The 20672-nt window shown below is 43.6% G+C and overlaps 1 protein-coding gene across 2 annotated transcripts in view, besides 2 other annotated features; it reads left to right on the forward strand.

Moving 5' to 3' along the window:
• LMTK2 (lemur tyrosine kinase 2) overlaps positions 1-20672 on the forward strand; it is a 102777-nt gene that overhangs the window by 6416 nt on the left and 75689 nt on the right. The window lies entirely within an intron of this gene.
• Positions 19114-19614: an enhancer, noted in NCBI's record as "H3K4me1 hESC enhancer chr7:97761703-97762203 (GRCh37/hg19 assembly coordinates)". NCBI's record gives its function as "activates a minimal SCP1, AML or CMV promoter by ChIP-STARR-seq in naive H9 embryonic stem cells {active_cell/tissue: H9 hESC(naive)}" and the evidence as "EXISTENCE:reporter gene assay evidence [ECO:0000049][PMID:30033119]".
• Positions 20174-20223: an enhancer, noted in NCBI's record as "active region_26304". NCBI's record gives its function as "activates an Ori minimal core promoter by ATAC-STARR-seq in GM12878 lymphoblastoid cells {active_cell/tissue: GM12878}" and the evidence as "EXISTENCE:reporter gene assay evidence [ECO:0000049][PMID:35858748]".

Here is a 20672-nt window from a genome sequence, read left to right on the forward strand (position 1 = left end):
TCCTGCTGCCATGTGACGAAGGACATGTTTGCTTCCCCTTCCACCGTGTTTATAAGTTTCCTGAGGCCTCCCCAGCCATGTGGAACTGTGAGTCAATTAAACCTCTTTCCTTGATAAATTACCCAGTCTTGAGCGATTCTTTATAGCACTGTAAGAATGGACTAATACAGCTGGCGTCTCACTGTGTTGCCCAGGCTGGTCTCAAATTCCTGGCCTCAAGTGATCCTCCTGCCTCAGTCTCCAAAAGTGGTAGGATTATAGGTGTGAGCCACCGCACCTGGCCCTTTCTCATTTAAAATCATGTGCTTTTATAGTCGACTAGCAGTGCTTTATTACTGTTTTAAAACTTTGTATTTACTAAAATGAGGGAAGGAATATTCTCGGAGGAGATGCTGGACAACCATCTCTGATCTAGAAGACTGCTCCCTCTAGGGATTTTAGATTCCATTATCAGCTTTTCTTTGAATCTTCTTATGAAGATACTGTTGCAGAAAACTGGGGAAGTTATGGTAAAATTAGCATGTCTGCAGAGCAAAATATTGGATTGATGTCTTTTAAAATTGTAGCAAGTGGCTAATTCGGAGCCCTGCCTTGGCATTACAATTGTTTGTCACAAAGAGCAGGCATATCAGAAAAGTAACCTCATTATTAAATTCTTTTTTTTTTTTTTGCAAAAGTTAGCTCAGTGCAGTGATTCCAAATGTCATTTATTGTATTGTGATTCAGGTGGGAAAAGTGAGCACTATTTATGCCAGATGTCTCAGGTACCCGCAGCCACAGCATTGATCAGTATCTTTCATTTTCTCTGCCTTTTTTTCCTTCCCCAACCACAAAAGAGTGACTCTGTATTCCTCTGCCCACCTGGGCCTTTGGTAGGAGGGGGTGGTGGTGGTAAACCTTCTGTTTAATTTTTGACAATTTGGTAGGTAGGTTTTGCATTTTATTATATGTGTTTTTTTAAAGTTTTTTTTTTTTTTTTTTGAGACAGGGTCTTGTTCTGTCACTCAGGCTGGAATGCAGTGGTGCAGTCATATTCACTGCAGTCTCTACTTCTTGGGCTAAAACGATCCTCCCACCTCAGCCTCCTGAATAGCTGGGACTACAGGTGGATACCACCATGCCTGACTGATGTAAAACATATTTTTTCTATAGAGATGGGATCTCACTATATTGCCCAGGCTGGTCTCAAACTCCTGGACTCAAGTGATCCTCCCACCTCAGCCTCCCAAAGTGCTGGGATTACAGGCATGAGCCACTGCACCTGGGTAGTTTTAATATTTTAAAAGGCTTGAGTTACCATCAGGTCAAATTAGGTGTGCAGGACCTTGTGCTATGGCTAAAGTAGCCCCTGTCTCCCTGCATCTGGTGAAGGGAGACGGTCGCATCGGGGTGTCTGCTGCAGCGCATCTGTTGTTGTTCCTGCCTCCACCCTCCACAGCACTTTTTTCAGAGCTAACTTGATCTGCCTATCGCTTGCAAAATATTCCATGCAAATTCCCATCTTCTGGCTCTCCATATATTCTCCCTGTTTGCAATTGCCTCTTTTCCTGCTTCTGTAAGTGCTGCCATCTTTTTATTTTTTTTAAAACCTCTTTGCGGACCCACCTTCCCTACTGAGTTATTGATCCTGGCCCAGCCCTTAGAGATTCCTTCCCTTGGTGAACTTGAGAGTGTATACCTGTGGAGCAAGATGTTTCATGGGGTGCCAGACGAAAACATTGGAACTGATGTTTATTCTCATTTCATCCTCTTAAAAGGTCAACTTATGTGATGTTTTAAGGTATAGAATGTGTGGTACACTAACACATTTTTTGATTTATAAATGACATGGGACGGAAAGAACATAAAATGTACTGCCTGGGTACAGTGGCTCATGCCTGTAATCCCAGCACGGTGGGAGGTCGAGGTGGGTGGATCACGTGAGGTCAGGAGTTCAAGACCAGCCTGGACAACACGGAGAAACCCCGTCTATACTAAAAAACACAAAAATTAGCTGGGTATGGTGGCACACTCCTAAAGTCTCAGCTACTCAGGAGGCTGAGGCAGGAGAGTCGCTTGAACCCAGGAGGCAGAGGTTGCAGTGAGCCGAGATCATGCCATTGCACACCAGCCTGGGCGACAGAGCGAGACTCAAAGAAAGAGAAAAAGAAAGAAGAAAGAAAGAGAAGAAAAAAAGAAAAGAAGGAAGGGAGGGCGGGAGAGAGGAGAGAGAAATTACTGCTGGCTGAAATCAAGAAAGGTTTGGTTTTGGGCCGGGTGCTGTGGCTCACACCTGTAATCTCAGCACTTTGGGAGGCCGAGGCGGGCGGGTCACGAGGTCAAGAGATTGAGACCATCCTGGCCAACATGGTGAAACCCCGTCTCTACTAAAAAGTCAGCTGAGTGTGGTGGCGGGCACTTATAGTCCCAGCTACTCAGGAGGCTGAGGTTGAACCCGGGAGGCGGAGGTTGCAGTGAGCTGAGATCGCACCACTGTGCCCAGGCCTAGTGACAGAGCAAGACTCCATCTCAAAAAAAGCAAAAAAAGAAAGGTTTGGTTTCATCATACCAGTCTACTACTTGCACTTAATAAATACCAAATACCACTTTATATCTTCATATCATTGGTTTTTTGTTTGTTTGTTTAAGAGACAAAGTCTTGCTCTGTTGCCCAGGCTGGAGTGCAGTGAACTGTCATGGTTTACTGCATCCCTGAACTCCTAGGCTCAAGCAGTCCTCCCATGTCAGCTCCTGAGTAGCTGGGACTATAGGCGCATGTAACCATGCTTGGCCAATTTTTACTTTTTGTAGAGATGGTCTACAAAAGTAAAGTTGCCATGTTGCCCAGGCTGGTCTCAAACTCCTGGCCTCAAGCAGTCCTCTGGCTTCGGCCTCCCACGGTGTTGGGATTATAGGTGTGAGCCACAGTGTCCGGCCTACATCATTGTTTAAGTCCTGTCTCTTTACCTAGTTTGCAAGGACCGTGTCTTATATCCTTGGGATAGCACATTTTTGGGATTGGTGTTTGGATGGTATGTCACAGGTTGTAGATGCTCTGTCAGCATTTGTAACTGAGGATGATGAAGATGATACTAGAGAACTAAGTTCTCCAAACCAGTACCTCAGTGTGTGTCTGTGTGTGTGTGTGTGCATGTGCGTGTGTTTGTGCGTGTGTGTGTGTGTTTGTGTCCGCGTGTGTGTGTGTGAAGGAGAGGGTATGAGCTGAAGCCTCTCATTCTCTTGCGGACTTGACTTCCCATGCAGCCACAGACCTTCACCTGGGATGAGGCCATTTATAGTTTTTTTTTTATTAAAACCTTTTTCTTTCACAACAATTTTAGATTTACAGAAACATTGCAAAGATAGTACAGAGTGTTCCTGTGTATCTTTTACCCAGTCCCTGTTGTTAACATCCTATATTAATGTAGTACATTTGTCACAACTAAGGAACAAGTATTAATATATTGCTATTAAATAAGTCCACAGCTTGTTCAGTTTCTTTAATATTTCTCTAGTGTCTTTTTTTCTCTTCCAGGAAACCACATTACATTTAGTAGTTATGCCCCTTGGGCTCCCCCAGTCCATTCCTTGTTTAGAGTGACCTGGACAGCTTTGAGGAGTACTGACTGGTCAGATATTTTGTAGAATGTCCCTCAACTGGGATTTGTCTGATGTTTTTCTCACGATTAGACTGGGGGTGTGGGTTTCTGGGAGGAAGACCACAGAGTTAAAGTGCCATTCTCATCACATCACATCAAGGGTGTGTGCACACAACATCACACAGCATGACTTGTCACTTGATCACCTGGCTGAGTAGTGTTTGTCAGCTTTCACCCTGTAAAGTTACTCTGTCCTCCCCTCCCCATGGTGTACGAGTGCAGGGTCAACACTTAATGAGTGGCAAGCTGTGCTCCACCTCTTTGCAAGGAAGTGTCTGTAGACATTCTTTGGAGTTCTGTTGAAGAGACTCGCGTATTCTCTTCTTTTCTTTTTTTCTTCCTCTTCCCCTTCCCTTTCCTTGACAGGTCTTGCTCTGTAGTCCAAACTGGAGTGCAGTAGCACAGTCATGACTCACTGCAGCCTTGAACTCCCGGGCCCATGCGATCCTCTGTTTATTTCTTTATTCAAGCATTTACTTATGTCAGTGTGGATGCATGGATATTTATTTTATACTTCGAGTTGATTCCACAGTGTTGTTTATTTGTTCTTACATTGTACCAGCTTTGGCCATCGAGAGCTCTTTCAGTTAGCTCCTGGGTGCCCCGCTGACATATCCTCATTTTTTTTTTAAGCATTTCCTTATTTTCTGGCATTTCAAGAAGCTACAGGTTCATCTTGTATATTCCCTGCCCCAGTCCTAGAATCAGCCTTTTCTTCAAGGAGCTCTGGTTCCTCTGATTGGAGAGTGATATGAGAAACCAAGATCTGGGCCAGGCGCAGTGGCTCATGCCTGTAATCCCAGCACTTTGGGAGGCCGAGGTGGGCGGATCACTTGAGGTCAGGAGTTCAAGACTAGCCTGACCAACGTGGTAAAACCTCGTCTCTACTAACAATACAAAAATTAGCCAGGTGTGGTGGTGTGCGCCTGTAATCCCAGCTACTCGGGAGGTTGAGGCAGGAGAATCACTTGAACCCAGGAGATGGAAGTTGCAATGAGCCGAGATCGGACCACTGCACTCCAGCCTGGGTGACAGAGTGAGATTGTCTCAAAAAAAACCAAACAAACAAAAAAAACAAGATCTGGGTGCTGGGTTTGCTCATTGCTTCTGGGCATTTTTAATAGATTTTTGATCCTCTGCTTCCTGTACCTAATCTTTGGGGTTGTGGGGAGGGGAGGAGAGAGCAACTTTGGGACCTCTTAGAGACAGATGAGCTGGAAGGACTCTGTCCATGTTTTCTCCCTGTCACTTAAACTATTAAATACCACCATAAACATTCTAAATACCATGTTTGTGGTACTAACTGCATTATAATGATATTGGCAGAATCTTATTTTTCTTTTTAGAGTAATAAATATATGAAAAATAGATTCGATTTACCTCCTCCAAGAGCAGCTTAATCTCTGAGAATATGAACGAAACCTCTTTGGCTTAAGAATTTAGTTAGAGAGGATTATTTTGGGGGGTCTTTCAGTGTTGGAATTGCTGAAAAGGTTTATAGGCAACTCCTTGAATTGGTAAAAGTTCAGATGAAATTTCTACTGGCGAGTCTCTTGAAGAGCATGGGGCTGTAGACTTGCTTTGATCTGTTTACTGAGCTTTGCTTTGCTTTTTTTTTCTTTTTATTATAGAAAATTTCAAACATACAGAAAAATAGAGTGAAGTGGTATAGTGGACCCTCGTGTTCCCGTCACCCAGCATCCACAGTATTTTCATTCATGATTCATCTTGTTTCACCTTTACCCTTCCCTCTGCCCTAGCCTTTGTTGTATTGATGTAAATCTCAGTGACGGATCAGTGCAGCTGAAAATGCTTCAGGAAGAAGTAAGTGTGTTTTTATAAAACAGGATGGCTTGCGTGCAGATCACCTAGGTATTTGTAGAAATGCAGATTTTGGCCGGGCGCAGTGGCTCATGCCTGTAATCCCAACACTTTGGGAAACCGAGGCAGGCAGATCATGAGGTCAGGAGATCGAGACCGTCCTGGCTAACATGGTGAAACCGCGTCTCTACTAAAAATACAAAAAATTAGCCAGGTGTGGTGGCGGGTGCCTGTAGTCCCAGCTACTCAGGAGGCTGAGGCAAGATAATCGCTTGAACCTGGGAGGCGGAGGTTGCAGTGAACCAAGATAGTGCCACTGCACTCCCGCCTGGGTGACAGAGTGAGAATCCATCTCAAAAAAAAAAAAAAAAAAAGAAATGCAGATTTCTGGGTCCCAAACTAACCAGCTGAATCAAAATGCTGAAGGCTGGGCTGGAATCCTGCATTTATAATAGTTTTCTGGTTATTTCTCCCCTCATCCCCTCACTGCCACAACACACATATTTCATCTTCTACTACGTACAAAATAATACCAGTTATTTACTGGAAATCTGTTGACTTGTGTAACTAGTGAGAATCAAGGAAAGGAGGAAAACATTCCATTTGATTAAAAACTTGAGATTTTAAAATGAATGCCAACACCTGAAATCTGAAGAGCTCACTCATCCTGAGCACCACGTGTAAATATCTCCCTGTGAGTACATATGCCATCACCACAAAGGAATTCAAGCACTCCGGGGCAGAACACAGCTAAAGCTTGAAATAAGTATTTTTTTATTTTTTTAAAAACTTCACTCCTTCTCTAGATGTCTGTATGAATAATAGCTTCTTTACATTTTACGAATATCATGTATAAATATCAGGGAAAACAGCAGGTAGTCCGACAATCAGATGCTGGTACCGTGAGCTGAGAATCTTGGTGCCAGTCCTGGACCACCAGGCCTCAGCTCACTGCAGCTAGAGTCAGGGTGGCAGGTGACTCGTAGGGAAATTTTGAGAGCAGGTATAAAACCGTGACATTCTTAATTCCCTTGGTGATAAATGGGTGTGCTGTAACGTGAGAACCCCTGATTCGTAATCTATACGGTAACTTGCAGGGTGTTTTGTTTTGCTAGGATAATATGTTGTTAGCATCTTGCTTTTAAAAAGTTTATTTTTCTAAGCTAACTCATTTAGGTGTAGCCTAGGATTTGTAGCCTATTTCATATTTTTTGATAGGTACTTTTTTTTAAAAGCTGTTTGTTGTTATATTTTGATATATTTGCTGTGGATGATTGATCTGTACAAAATTTTCTTATGATGAGCTAAAAAAAGTAAACTGTCTCTGAAGCTGCTACATTATAATGATTGTATAATCATCAGTCGGGTTTGATGAAGAACACCATAGGCTCTTGTATTAGTACAGACTATTTTTTGACAACATGTATGCCTTGGGTGGGAGAAAAGAATTTAGTTACATCTATGATAGCGGTTTTTGAGAGAGGAGCTGCTCTTATTTAAAAGTGAAACCACTATAATTTTAAAAGGCTTATTTTTTTTTCCCCCTTCAGGCTCATATTCTCAGTCCATCCCCAAACTTTGTTTTCCCTGTTTTTGCTAGACTGAGGAAGGGACTTGAGTTTGACATGGTATAATTGCAACCTTTAATTATAGGAAGTAAATCCCCAAGACATCTTGGACTTAGAAGATAAAGGAGGAGAAGTTTGCAATCATTTTGCACATTTAAAATATCTGTTTTAACCAACTAGTAATTATAAAATTTTGTAGTTGCAGCTTTTTACTGCAAAACTAAAGTGTTGTGATCTATTGGTGGCCTCTCAGATTAGCCACTAAATTTAAGTTTAAAGTATTTTTCTCATCGCAGATTCTTCTCAGAACCCTCAATAAATTAAACTTGTGCCCCTTTCAAGAGGAAAAAATATCCTGTCCCCATTCTTTCCTGGCAATTTGCCCCTGTAGAAGGGTTCCCTATCTAGGCAGCAGCGGTTGCTTCCCCGGATCCAGCCTGTCAGTTACTGAGCAGAGCCCCACTTGACTCTTACCTCAGACTGTTATTAAAATGCAACACCCTGACACTGATTGCTGGTAAGGCACTGAAAAATAACCAACTTACCAAAATAGCCCCCTGGGAACACTCTCCCAGAGGCCTGCCACAGCAGTACAATTCGGGAATCTGTCATCTAACTTAGTTTTCTGTATTGAAAAGAAAATTCACTTTAATAAAGAGCTGATCACCAACATTAACCGTATAGGCACCCGGTAGACTTAGAAAATGTTGGGACCGTAAATCCTAGTCTGTAGAATTTTAGAGTTGAAATGCCAGTTTTACAGATGCAGTCAGTCTCACACCGCCAGTTAGGGGCAGGTCCGATTCAAGAGTGAGGGTCCTAAGGTCCAGGCCACCCGTTCACCCTGGTGAACCGCATTGTGCTTTAAAGAACCTCTGTAGTGCGATGCGCATGCACACACGGAGACCCAACTCCAGCCACTTCTCTGGATATTGATTTCTGTATATTCTCTGAAAGTACTGGGGTGAAATGTTAAACTACGAATCATAAGATTGCCTCTTGAAGTACTAAAGAAAATGCCATATTGAAAATTAGGAAACCAAGCCTGGCGTGGTGGCTCACTCCTGTAATCCCAGCACTTTGGGAGGCCAAGGCAGGTGGATCATGAGGTTAGGAGATCAAGACCATCCTGGCCAACATGGTGAAACCTTGTTTCTACTAAAATACAAAAAAAAAAAATTAGCCTGGCATGGTGGTGTGCACCTTTAGTCCCAGCAACTCGGGAGGCTGAGGCAGAGGAATCGCTTGAACCCAGGAGGGTGGAGGTTGCAGTGAGCCGAGATTGCGCCACTGCATTCCAGCCTGGCACAGAGCCAGACTCCATCTCAAAAAAAAAAAAGAAAATTAGGAAACCAAAGTGCTAGCTTCCATAATTAGGCTGAAAAAAATCACATTCATATTGTTTTTAAATTTGTGCCGGGCATGGTGGCTCAGGGCTGTAATCCCAGCACTTTGGGAGGCTGAGGCGGCTGGATCGCTTGAGGCCAGGAGTTCGAGACCAGCCTGGGCAACATGGCAAGACCTCGACGCTACAAAAATTTTTTAAAAAAATTAGCTGGGTGTGGTGGTGTGCACCTGTGGTTACAGCTACTCAAGAGGCTGAGGTGGGAGGATCACTTGAGCCTGAGAGGTCTAGGCTGTGTTCGCACCTCTGCACTCCAGCCTGGGCGACAGAGCCGGACTGTCGAGACCGTGTCTCGGGTTAAAAAAAAAATTGTAAAAACAACTATTTAGTTTCTACCTATGAGATGACATTATACCATTTAATTAAAGGTAATAAAAATGTTTCTGACTTTTAAGAAGTGTAATCATAAACTTGTAAGCATTCATTTGTAAACATGAAAGATACTTTAAACACCACCATTGATTTATATGCTTTTGTGGAGGTCTGGACTCCTTTTTTTTTCCTTTCCAACTTTCGTTTTTGTTTCGGGGGGTGCATGTGCAGGTTTGTCACGTGGGTAAATTGCATGTCGTGGGGATTTGGTGTATAGATAATTTTGTCACCCAGGCAATCAGCATAGTACCCCATAGGCAGTTTCCCAGTTCTCACCCTCCTCCAACCCTGGATGGTTTTAGGAATCCGCAACTGCTGTAGGTCCCAAGAATAATGCTCATTGGCGGATATTTTGTATATCCTTTCAAGAGTCACGGACAGGTATTTTAAAAAGCGTGTGGAACAGTCAACAAATGTCATTTTTCTCCTCTTCTTTCTCTCAGCTCTTTAAAACAAGGCATTGTGACCCATGCCTCTCATCCCACCCTTTCCTGGCAGCTGCAGCATCCCTCACTTATGTCCTCTTTGTCTCCTGCTCCTGGACCCTTGCTGTCAGCTTATATAATAAATAACAGTTCAGTGAATAACTCTACATGGTGTGTGTGTGTGTGTGTGTGTGTGTGTGTGTGTGTGTGTGTGTGTGTGTATATATATAACTGGATCTCACTCTGTCCCCTAGGCTGGGGTGTCCCTTCCCAAAGTGCTGGGCTTACAGGCTGAGCCACTGTGCCTGGCCTGCATAACACTTTTAAACATGCTTTTCTCCTCTGCCTTCCATGGTAGTATGCCTCCCTGTTGCCTCCGAAACATCCTTTTTCCTGTTTCCTATCAGCTCTGTTTCTTTGTCCCCTCCCTTAAATGTTGTTTCTTATCTCCTTGGTTCTCTTTTTTTTTTCCTTCCCCCTTGATCTATTTTGTAAATTATATTTGCAAATGATGCATGTAAATAGTTTTAAAAAATTAAATAGTTTTTCAGGGTTTATCATAAAAATAGTGAATCCCTGTCCTGTCCCGTTCCTCCCCATCCCTGCTGCTGGCTCCCAGTGGCAACGCCCTGCAGCTCTTTTAGCCACATTGTGGGCTAATGTGCTTGTAGCACTGTTTGTTGCTTTAATCAGATACTGAGTTTCTACTATGCATGACAAGGATTTATATATTCACACACATACGTGCATTCACCCTTTTTCTCAACACAGTCACTTAAACTTTTCCATTAAATCAGCATTCATTATTTACATTTTTATGGCTACAGACATTGTTTACAACTGACCCTATAGTGTTTGTGATGATTACAGTTCTTTGGTTAGTTTTTTATGAACACATCATTAATCCGTCCCAGGTGCCTTGTCAGCAGCTTAAATCTCCTCTCCGTGTGTTTGGCTGTTGTGTCCTGGAACCCTTGTGTCCTATGCCAGTCTTGCAGTGGTGTCTCTGTGGCCGCTGTCCAGCCTCTTGAGAGGTCTGAAGCTTTTAAGACTTCCTATGTGTCTAGATCTGAACAGTTGTAAAGCTGTGCCTTGGTATGAGTCTCGTTTCATCCATTTCATTCATCAACATGGATGCACAATGGGCCCTTTGAACCTTGAAAGTTGTGTGCTTTAGTTCTGGCCAATTTTCATATATACACACACACACACACACACACAGACATACACATGTATGTGTATATATGCACACACTTTTTGGGAAGAATTCTCTTCCTTCTCTTTGTTCTTTCCATCTAAAGCTTCTATCAGCAGATTGTTGGATGTTTTGGAATGAGCTTCTACTTTACTTCTGTTGATCTTTTTGTCTGTGTTCTACTGCTATGTGCAAGTATTTTTTTCAATTTCATTTGATTTCCAGGAGGCCTCCTCTCCCACTTTTTAAATAGCCTCTTTCCTCTCATGAGTATACTGTCTCTTGTTATTTCTGAGAATATAGTTGTTGTTTTTTATTATTTTTTAGCCCCTGCATTGTCTGTTTCCCTCAGGTTCCTTTATATCTGTTTGGGTTGGGCACTGTCTTTTACCTAAGAGGTTTTTCAAATGTCAGGTGATACTTGAAAGTCTGTTCCTCTTTCAGAGCAGGGAGTTAATAAATGGATTGGAGGTGTGCTCCATGTCCCCTTTTCCCTCCAGCTTCACCTCACATCTGCCAGCAAGTCCTGGCTCCACCTGCTTTCGTCCCCTGCTCTGTCATGGAGTGGGAAGAGCTTGCACTCTGAGCCTCACCATGTACTGTCTGACCTTGGAGAAGTTACTTTGCCTCTTCAGTGCTCCGTTTCTTCATTTTAAAATGGGGCTCATCAGGCACAGTGGCTCATGACTGTTTCCCAGCACTTTGGGAGGCCAAGGTGGGGAGAATCATTTGAGGCCAGGAGTTCAAGACAAGCCCGGGCAACATGGTGAGACTCCATCTCTGCAATAAATTTTAAAAAATTAGCCAAGGGTGGTGGCCCATGCCTGTCATCTCAGCACTTTGGGAGGCCAAAGTGGGAGGATCACTTGAGGCCAAGAGACAGAGACCAGCCTGGGCAATGTAGTAAGACCCTGTCTCTACAAAAAATTAAAAAATTATCTGGGCATGGTGGTGCACACCTGTAGTCCCAGCTACTCGGGAGGCTGAGGTGGGAGGATTGCTTGAGCCCAGGAGTTCAAAGCTGCAGTGAGCTATGATTATACCACTGATTCCAGCCGAGGTGACAGAGCAAGACTGTGTCTCTAAAAAAAAAATAATAATAACATAAAATGGGGCTAATGATACTACCTACCTCAAAGAGTTGTTATGGAATTGGAAGAGTTTAGAATACTGCCTGGAACATTGTAAGCAACATGTAAATATTGACTATTTTTATAACCCTCCTGGTATCAAATCACTGTCATTTCTTGCATGATTTAGTTGTAATATCAGAAATGTGTTCCCTGGTCATTCCATAAAAAATAACAGTCTCCCCAGTCCAGGCTAGGCGCATGGCTCACGCCTGTAATCCCAGCACTTTGGGAGGCCGAGGCGGGCGGATCACGAGGTCAGGAGATCGAGACCATCCTGGCTAACATGGTGAAACCCCATCTCTACTAAATATACAAAAAATTAGCTGGGTGTGGTGGCGGGCGCCTGTAGTCCCAGCTACTCAGGAGGCTGAGGCAGGAGAATGGCATGAACCTGGGAGGCAGAGCTTGCAGTGAGCCAAGATCACGCCGCTGCACTCCAGCCTGGGTGACAGAGCGAGACTCCGTCTCAAAAAAAAAAAAAAATCTCCCCAGTCCTTTGTTTTATTTTTCCATATTGCTTCTTGCCATCTGACGTATCATATATTTACTTAGTTGCTTATTGTCTGCCCTGTGTGCAGGGACTTTGTTTTTTTCACTTCTTTATTCTCAGAACCTATAGCAGCACCTGTCTTATAAGATGCTTAGTAAATGTTTGTTGAATGAATGAATGTGTTGGTGGGTCTTTCTGCCTGGTGAACTTCACAGTAGGGTGACTGCGCAGCCATTTCAGTAGGTGACACCCCTGTCCCATAACCCTCTTAACTATTTGGGGGTATTTTATCTTGGGCTGGATACCTGAGTATCTGGAAGCACCTAATTAGATATTGAATTGTCTTTGGGCTTATTTTTCTGTATGACATAAAGACAACAGTTGAAGCATTATCAAATAGGAAACCCTAGATGATCTTGCCTTTGTGTGCTGTAGAACCTTGTCAAGGTCACTGTTGTAACCAGTTTCTGACTTAGTTTCGAAGATGGTACTTAAAAATCAAAACTTCATTGTAGAGGATTTTGAACATATGCAGAAGTAGAGAGAAGAGCATAATGAATTCTCTCTCCCCATACCCGGGCCCAGCCGTCTCTCACCGCCAGGCCTGCTTCAATATTCAATAGTAGCACCGGGTACTTCCTCTCTGAAGAGAGAACTTGGAAGGACACATTGCCTAAGATTGCATTTCAGTTATATTTGCAAGAACTTAAGTTAGGCTTTAGGAAGCCAGCAGGGCTCTGAGAACATAGACTCCATCGAGGGATTGTAGGAGATTTGAAAGAAAAAGTAGACATGTTTTTCTAGGTTATTTAGGGTCTGTCCTACATGGGAAGTAAGGAGCAGACATTTAGGCCACTTCTCCCATCTTTCAGCTGTATTGTGCAGAAGTTGGATTGACGAAGTGTTGTGAATCTAGTACTGCCATTGACTCGCCTGCACATCTCTGCAGACGTACATGGGAAGTTGTGTGACAAAACAGAATATCCTTCCCCTAGACGTTGGTGGTCCACTGCAGGGATGGTTGTGGGGTTGAGCCCTGGGAATCTGGCTCTGAGTCTCTCCTTCTGGGACTAGATGCTTCCCGTTCCTGCATCGGCTTCCGGAGTGTGGAACCACCATTCAAAGCTGTTAAAGACATGGAAGTGCCGTGGATGACGCCATAGCTCAGCTCTGCCAGCAACTTAACCAAGGTTCCAGTTCCGGAATATCCAGCCTTTCATTTCTTGGGGTGTGGGGGCCCAGTCATCTGGCAGAAGTCATTCAAGCCCGACATTCTTTTGGCCACACCGTGCTGCCTTAGATGAGCTTTTCTGTAGTAGTCTCCATCCTAGTTAGTGTTTTAAAATGGGAATGAAATGGCACTTTGATAACAAATTTTAGTGGAATAGTCTGAGAGAAACCAGCAGCTTCGTATAAAATGATCTCATTCACAGGTATTTAATTAGCACTCAAATTATATAACCTTTCTGCAAGTGTGAGGGAGCAGTTGGGCTGGCTGACCTTGAAAATCACTTTTGAACAGAGGAACTCTTCCCTGTCTGTGATTAGCACACAGAGCGATCTGTTTCTCTAGGCTGTTGAGATTCTGGCTTAGGGTCTTTGTGGTATCTCTGATTCATGAACGAGATCATCAGTGCACTCTTTACTGTTGTGTGTGACTGAGTATATTTACTGCCACGCTTCATTTCCCTTTTCCTTTCCTATATTAGAATACCTGAGGGAGATTCTAGGTTATTTAATGTTCTTATAAATAGATATATTGTTATATTATGGCAAAGAAAACACTTTGTGACTTAAAATTCTGTGTACAGGAAACCTTGATGATAGATGGGTTTGTAAGTTTGAGGCGTTAAATAAAAATGTGTGATCTGCAATAATTGTTCAGATTTTTTTCCCCAAGTAGTGTGATGATGATTCATTTTATTAAGTCTCTGGGCTGCAGTGCTACTTGTCAGGGTGTTAGAAGAGGAAGACAGGCTTAGTGGTCCTAACGTGCTAGGAGAAAAAGGCCCAAACGATGTGTTTTAGAGATGGGCTTTATGTTGGGCCCATTTGGAAGGTTGCTGGCCCTTAGCTTCCCTCAGTTCTATGAGTTTTCTTTGTCTAACCTTTGTCTAAGTAGCCACCATTGTTAATTTTCAAGTAGGCACAGAATTCTCCTATGCAAATTCCCTGAGGCAAGAGGGTCTGGGCAAAACAGAAAACAGGCGAGATGTGTAAGGACCTGGCCCTTGCTTTACACTTGCTTTTCCAGTTAGAAGGCAGGATGCCCTCATGCCTGTGTCTGTGCTGTCAAGGATGGACCCCTGCCAGTGGGATTGGCTTTCTTCAATTAATGCATGGACCAAGTATATGTTAAAATAACTAAAGGAGTGGAATTGGAGTGTTGCTAACACAAAGAAATGATCGATGCCTGAGGTGACGGACACCCCAAATACCCTGATGTGGTTATTACACTTTGTATGCCTGTATCAGAGCGTCACACATACGCCATAAATATATACACCTATTTGTACACTTAAAAATAAAAAATTAAGGCTGGGCATGGTGGCTCATGCCTGTAATCCCAGCACTTTGGGAGGCCAAGGTGGGTGGATCACCTAAGATCAGGAGTTTGAGATTAGCCTGGCCAAGATGGCGAAACCCCGTCTCTACTAAAAAATACAAAAATTAGCTGGGTGCGGTAGCAGGTGCCTATAATACCAGCTACTTGGGAGGCTGAGGCAGGAGAATCGCTTGAACCCGGGAGGTGGAGGTTGCAGTGAGCCAAGATCGCGCCACTGTGCTCCAGCCTGGGAGACAGAGCAAGACTCCATCTCTAAATAAATAAATAAGTAAATAAATAATTAAAAAGGTGAAAAGATTAGTAAATTGACACAGTGCTAGGGGCTGAGTTTTACCCCTCCATGTACCTCAAACTATAACTGTATTTGGAGATAGGCCTTTTAAACAGGTGAGTCCTGAGGGCGGGCCGTAGTCCATTCTCACTGTTGTCCTTGTAAAATGGGGAACTTTAGACACACACAGAGACACCAGGGATGCACACGGAAGAAAGCCCCTTTGAGAATGCAGGGAGAAGGCTGCTGTCCACAGGCCAAGGAGAGAGGCCTCAGGAGAAACCAGCCCTGCCGACACCTAGTCCTCTAGGACTGTGAGAAAGTCAAGTTCTGCTGTTGAAACCCCCAGCCTGTAGTATTTTGTTTTAGCAGCCCTAGCAAACTGATACGCGCAGTGTTCAGACTAAAACAAATTTAAATCACATCTTAGATGGCACCAATTAAGATTCCTGTTTTGTTCCTAAACACACGTTGGCATAGAGGTCCGAGGGCTGTGGCTCTGCCCGTGTGTGGGGCTTTCTTCTGAGTCCTGTGCTCCAGGGGCTCCCTGGGGAAGAGGCTGCCTTTGGATTCTCGCTTTGCCTGCACTGAGTAGAATGCACTGATGGCCTCCAGTAAGATGAGGCTGTGCGAGAACATGGTGCGTGTGGGTAAACACCTGTTTTTGAGGGAGAACATAAATTGGAGGAAATCCACTTTTTGAGATAATGTATTTCTTAATAAAACACCTTAGTTAGGCAGCTGAAGCAAAATGGGTACATGTTTGTGGGAGTTCTTGGGGCCCTGGGGAGTAAGCATCTCACCACTCCAATACAGTGTATGTCAACAGTGGGAAAATGTCCCGAGTAAGAGTGTAAAATTGTTGAAGGATGCTTCTCTTATAATCTTATTTGTTTGACCCTGAAAACGTAAGTTTATTATTATTATTTTTGAGACAGTCTCACTGTGTCACCCAGGCTGTCACCCAGGCTGTAGTGCAGTGGCACGATCGCACACCACTGCAGCCTTAACATCCTGGGCTCAAGCCATCCTCCCACCTCAGCCTCTCGAGTAGCTGGGACTACAGGCTCATGCCACCACGCCCGGCTAAGTTTTTGTATTTTTTTGTAGAGACCCAGGCTGGTTTTGAACTCCTGAGCTCAAGCACTGGGATTACAGGCATGAGCCGCCGTACCTGGCCCATAAGTTTATTCAGTTTTGTTTTGTTTTGTTTTGTTTTGTTTTGTTTTGTTTTGTGATAGGGTCTTACTTTGTTGTCCAGGCTGGAGTGCAGTGGTGTGATCGTAGCTTACTTCAGCCTTGACCTCCTGTGCTCAGGTGAGCCTCCCAAGTAGCTGGGACTACAGGTGTGTGTCACCGTACCTGGCTGATTTTTCACACTTTTTGTAGAGATGATGTCTCACTATGTTGCCCATGCTGGTCTTGAACTCCTGGGCTCAAGTGATCCTCCTACCTCAGCCTCCCAAAGCACTGGGATTACAGGCGTGAGCCACTGTGCCTAGCTCGTAAGTTTATTCTGTGATCCGGTAGGTTGGTTATGGTTTCTTTCTGTTGTTGTTGTTTTTCCTGTTTCGTTCCCTTGCTTGCTTATTTTCCCTCGCTTGCTCATGCCCCTTCATCGCTCTCTAACTTTTTTCCCTTTTTCTTACCCCGACTTCTACCTGAATGCTAGGCGCTGGGCTAGGCTCTGGGGAGTCATTGGTGGATTATACAAGCCTGGCCCGTGACCCCATTCAGCTTGCAGCCTAGTGGGGAAGGCATATGGGCATTTGCAACATGGAGTGACAGATTCCATGGGCCGATGCACGGTAATTGGGGGTGCACAGGCAGGGACTCCAACCGCGGGCCTCAAGGATGGTTTCTGAGTTGAGCTCTGATGGGCAGGGATGAATGAATGGTGGGGGCAGGGGAGCATGTCATGTTAGCGTCTCTGGGTGGTGGAAGATATGAGAATGAATTGGCAGAAGATCCATCTGGAAGGATGGAGAGAGGGTCATCATAGCTCATAGTAGAGAGCTGGCGGGGAGTGATGGAGTCGGGGCTGGGAGGTCAGAAGTAGCCAGGCAACGTTGGATGCTGAAGCCTTATGAAGGAATTTTGCCATTAGGTTAAAGATGGCGAGAAGCTGGGGGTACAAAATTCATCAAATAGGAAAGGATATAGCACCTTTGTGCTATACCAACAAATAGGAAAGGATATAGCACACTCTGTCCCCCAGCCACTCTGTTTCTGTCCTTGCAGGTAGCTGCTGTTATATGTGCACCTACTGGTCTTTGGCTCTTCTTTGTTTTTCCTTGTTTTCATTTAAGCATCTGTCCTAGAGATGGGTTGGATGGTGTTCCCCCTAAATTCATACGTGGAAACCCTAACCCCAGTGCCTCAGAATGGGACCTTATTTGGAGAGAGGGTCTTTACGGGGATGATCAAGTGAAAATGCGGTCATGAGGGTGGGCCTAATCCAGTGTGACTGCTGTCCTTATATATAGGAAGAGGAAATTTGGACACAGACACACGTAGAGGGGAGATGATGGGAAGAGACTTAGGGAAAAGGCAGCCAGCTGCCAGAAGCAAGGAGAGGCCTAGAACAAACCCTGCCACCACAGCCCTCAGAAGGAGCCCATCCTGCTGCCACCTTGATCTTGGACTTGGAGCTTCCAAAACTAGAGAATAAATTTTGGTTATTTGAGTCACCCAGTTTGTGATACTTGATTATGACAGCCCTAGCACGTTAATGGCCATATCAAGAGTAGGCAAGAATATGGATTATAAATTATGATATCTGCTTTCTTCCATTTAAACTTTTAAATTCATTTAATAAATGAAAGCTTCAAGCATGCAAGACATAGATACTGTAATGAATTCCCACACAGCTTCCACCCAGCCTGAATTAGCTGCAGCCCATCTTTCTTCATGCTGCCCCCGTCCACTTTCTCCACGCCCTCGTGCTGTTTGGAAGCAAATTCCAGACATCATTAAGTAGGTCACTATCTCCAAAAGATAAGGACTACATTTAAAAACAAGCACATGACCATTATCACTCCAAGGAGAAATGAATTACATTTTCTTAATATGGTCAGTTAGTGTTCAGATTTCCAATAGCCTGAAATGTCATAGTTTTTAAAATAGGTTGAATCATGATTCAAATAACATCCATATGTTGGAATTGGTGGGTAGGTCGTTTAAGTCTTTTAATGTTTGCCACTCTCCCTCTCTTCATCTCTTTCTTTTTTACATTTTCCTAGGCTTTTCTCCCCAAGTGTTTTTCACAGCCTGTGTTTTGCTGATTACATTCTTGTGGTGGTATTTCACATGTCTCGCTATTCATAATGTTTCCTATACATTGACATTTGGATCTAGGTGGTTGATTAGATTCAGGTTTGATATTGTTTTTGTTTGCTTGTTTTGGGCAGTACTGTTGCATAGGTGGTGATGTGTTTTTCTGTCAGGAGATAATGTCTGTCTTTCTGTGTTATCAGCTATTGATATAAATTTCATGTGTCATAAAATGTTATTTTGGATTAAAAATACGATTTAAAAACGTGAATTCTTAATTATTCTTAGCTTTCAGGCCATACCAAAACAAAAACTGTGGGCAGGATTTCACCCAGTGGCCACAGTTTCCTGATCCCTATTACCCGAAGAGAGCAGCTGCTTAGACCACAGGGGTACCAAAGTTCAATGTTACAAAACTGTGATACATTGTTTTCTAAGGTAGTTGTGACACCAGCAGTGAATAAGCAGCTCTACTTCCTGAACCGAGGTCTTTACATTAGCAGTTCACTTTAAAAGAAACCAGGGCTCTTTGGGGAAATGATTGATAGGAGGTTTGAAACAGAAACTATAAAAGATGAGCCTGGAACAACCCAGGGAACAAGAACTCCACCCAGGCCTGCCGGGACCCTGTGGGAGGGCTTGGGAGCAAACCGCTTTAGAGGCCCTGCTTGCCAAAGACAGGACAATGGGAGTGTCAATCAGAACAACCACAACGGATGGAAGCCTGTGGGTGCTTTAAATCCATTAGCTCATGATGATACCACAAAACAGTGACAGCAGCTCTCTGAACTGGTCACTGCCAGAGGATGCTAGTGAACCAACTTTTTTTTTTTTGAGACGGAGTCTCACTCTGTCGCCCAGGCTGGAGTGCAGTGGCGCAATTTTGGCTCACTGCAACCTCTGCCTCCTGGGTTCAAGCAATTCCCCTGCCTCAGCCTCCCGAGTAGCTGGGACCACAGGCGCGCGGCACCACGCCTGGCTAATTTTTTGTATTTTAGTAGAGACGGGATTTCACCATGTTGGTCAGGATGGTCTCAATCTCCTGACCTTGCGGTCCCCCGACCTTGGCCTCCCAAAGTGCTGAGATTACAGGCGTGAGCCACCGCACCCAACCACCAACTCATTTTTTAAAAACTGGCAAAGAGAAAGATTGAAGTATCTAGTCTGCCTTTTCCTTATGACTTGAACCACTGGGTAACCAAATAGTAAATGTGAGGAAATTTCTCTTTATAAAAGCATATCCACTAGTGACTGAACAAGGAATGACAACATTAGGATATCCAGCATTTTGTAATCCCTAATGGATCTAAATATTGATCATCATTTCTTTTTATCTGTGGCCTTTAATTTTTTTTTTAATTGAATCCCAAAATGGCTTCACAGACAACTCTTTAGTTAATTACATATGGGTCCAGTTTCATCTGAGGTTCTAGAGATCGTGAATCAGATAATTGGGCTGGAGTTATAATGGTTGAATTAATAGGTGGTATTCCTGGCTTACCTTGAGTCATTACTGAGAAATTGCATTCTCCAAATTACCTGTCTCTAAAACAGATAATATGTACCTACCTCTTAGAGTTTCTCAAGTTTTCTGCTTATTGAATCAAGTTCTAGGTAGCTATTAAAATGCTTTGAAAACTATTAAATGAAAACTCACAGAATGTGCTGTAGACATGCCGGGTGTTTTTTAATCAGTGTCTTGGGGAAAGCATACGTATTCCGCCAGACCTCATGTGGTGCTTGCTCTCAATTTGTGATGGGAAAAGCTGCCTAAATGTATGGTGATGCCTGTTCTTGATGTTGTTTGGTAGATGACTGGCTCGACGTATGCCCTTCTCAGTGCTGTAGGCTGCATGTTAAAGCTGCCTTTCTTTATCAGGTTCTAACAGCTGCAGTCAGGAACTGTGTCAGGGACTGGTTTCTAGTTTGACCACGGCGGTATAGGGATTTTATTTGTGGTTCCTCAAGTCTAGAATTTACTTCCTCTCTGTGGTTTCTGCAAACCCATCTCACCTTCCAGCCTATGTTTGATTTCCTCATTTTATGGAAGTTTTTTTTTTTCATTGCTAAATAGAGTTTTTTTTTATAGCACAGTGCTTTTGGATTCATCAAAAGAAAAATACTTTAAAGTTTTAAAAAGGGGTAACTAAAAATGTCTACTTGAAGCTACCTAGTCAATTTCTGAGGCAGTAGTTTTAATGGGACTGTTAGATACTGAGGTTGAGTAAGTGTGGTTCACACTGAGGAAATCTAAGGGAGAGTAGGTGCCCTGCAGACCCTAGCAGAAGTAAGTGTAGCAGAGAGCTAGGGCAAAGCGTGGCATAGTTCATTGGTCTTAACCTGGTTATACTCTTCATACCTATCTAGTGACTCACAGAGGACACTTTCATGAATCAGATAATTAGGCTGGCATTCATACAGTCCTTATCCAGTTCTGTAATAAATAAGTAGTTTGTGATGCTTAAAAAAACAAAACAAAAACTCTGGGTGCAAGAGAGGAAAAAGTAAGTCAAGA

Source organism: Homo sapiens, chromosome 7, assembly GCF_000001405.40.
Source record: "Homo sapiens chromosome 7, GRCh38.p14 Primary Assembly".
In the NCBI taxonomy this organism is placed as follows: domain Eukaryota; kingdom Metazoa; phylum Chordata; class Mammalia; order Primates; family Hominidae; genus Homo; species Homo sapiens.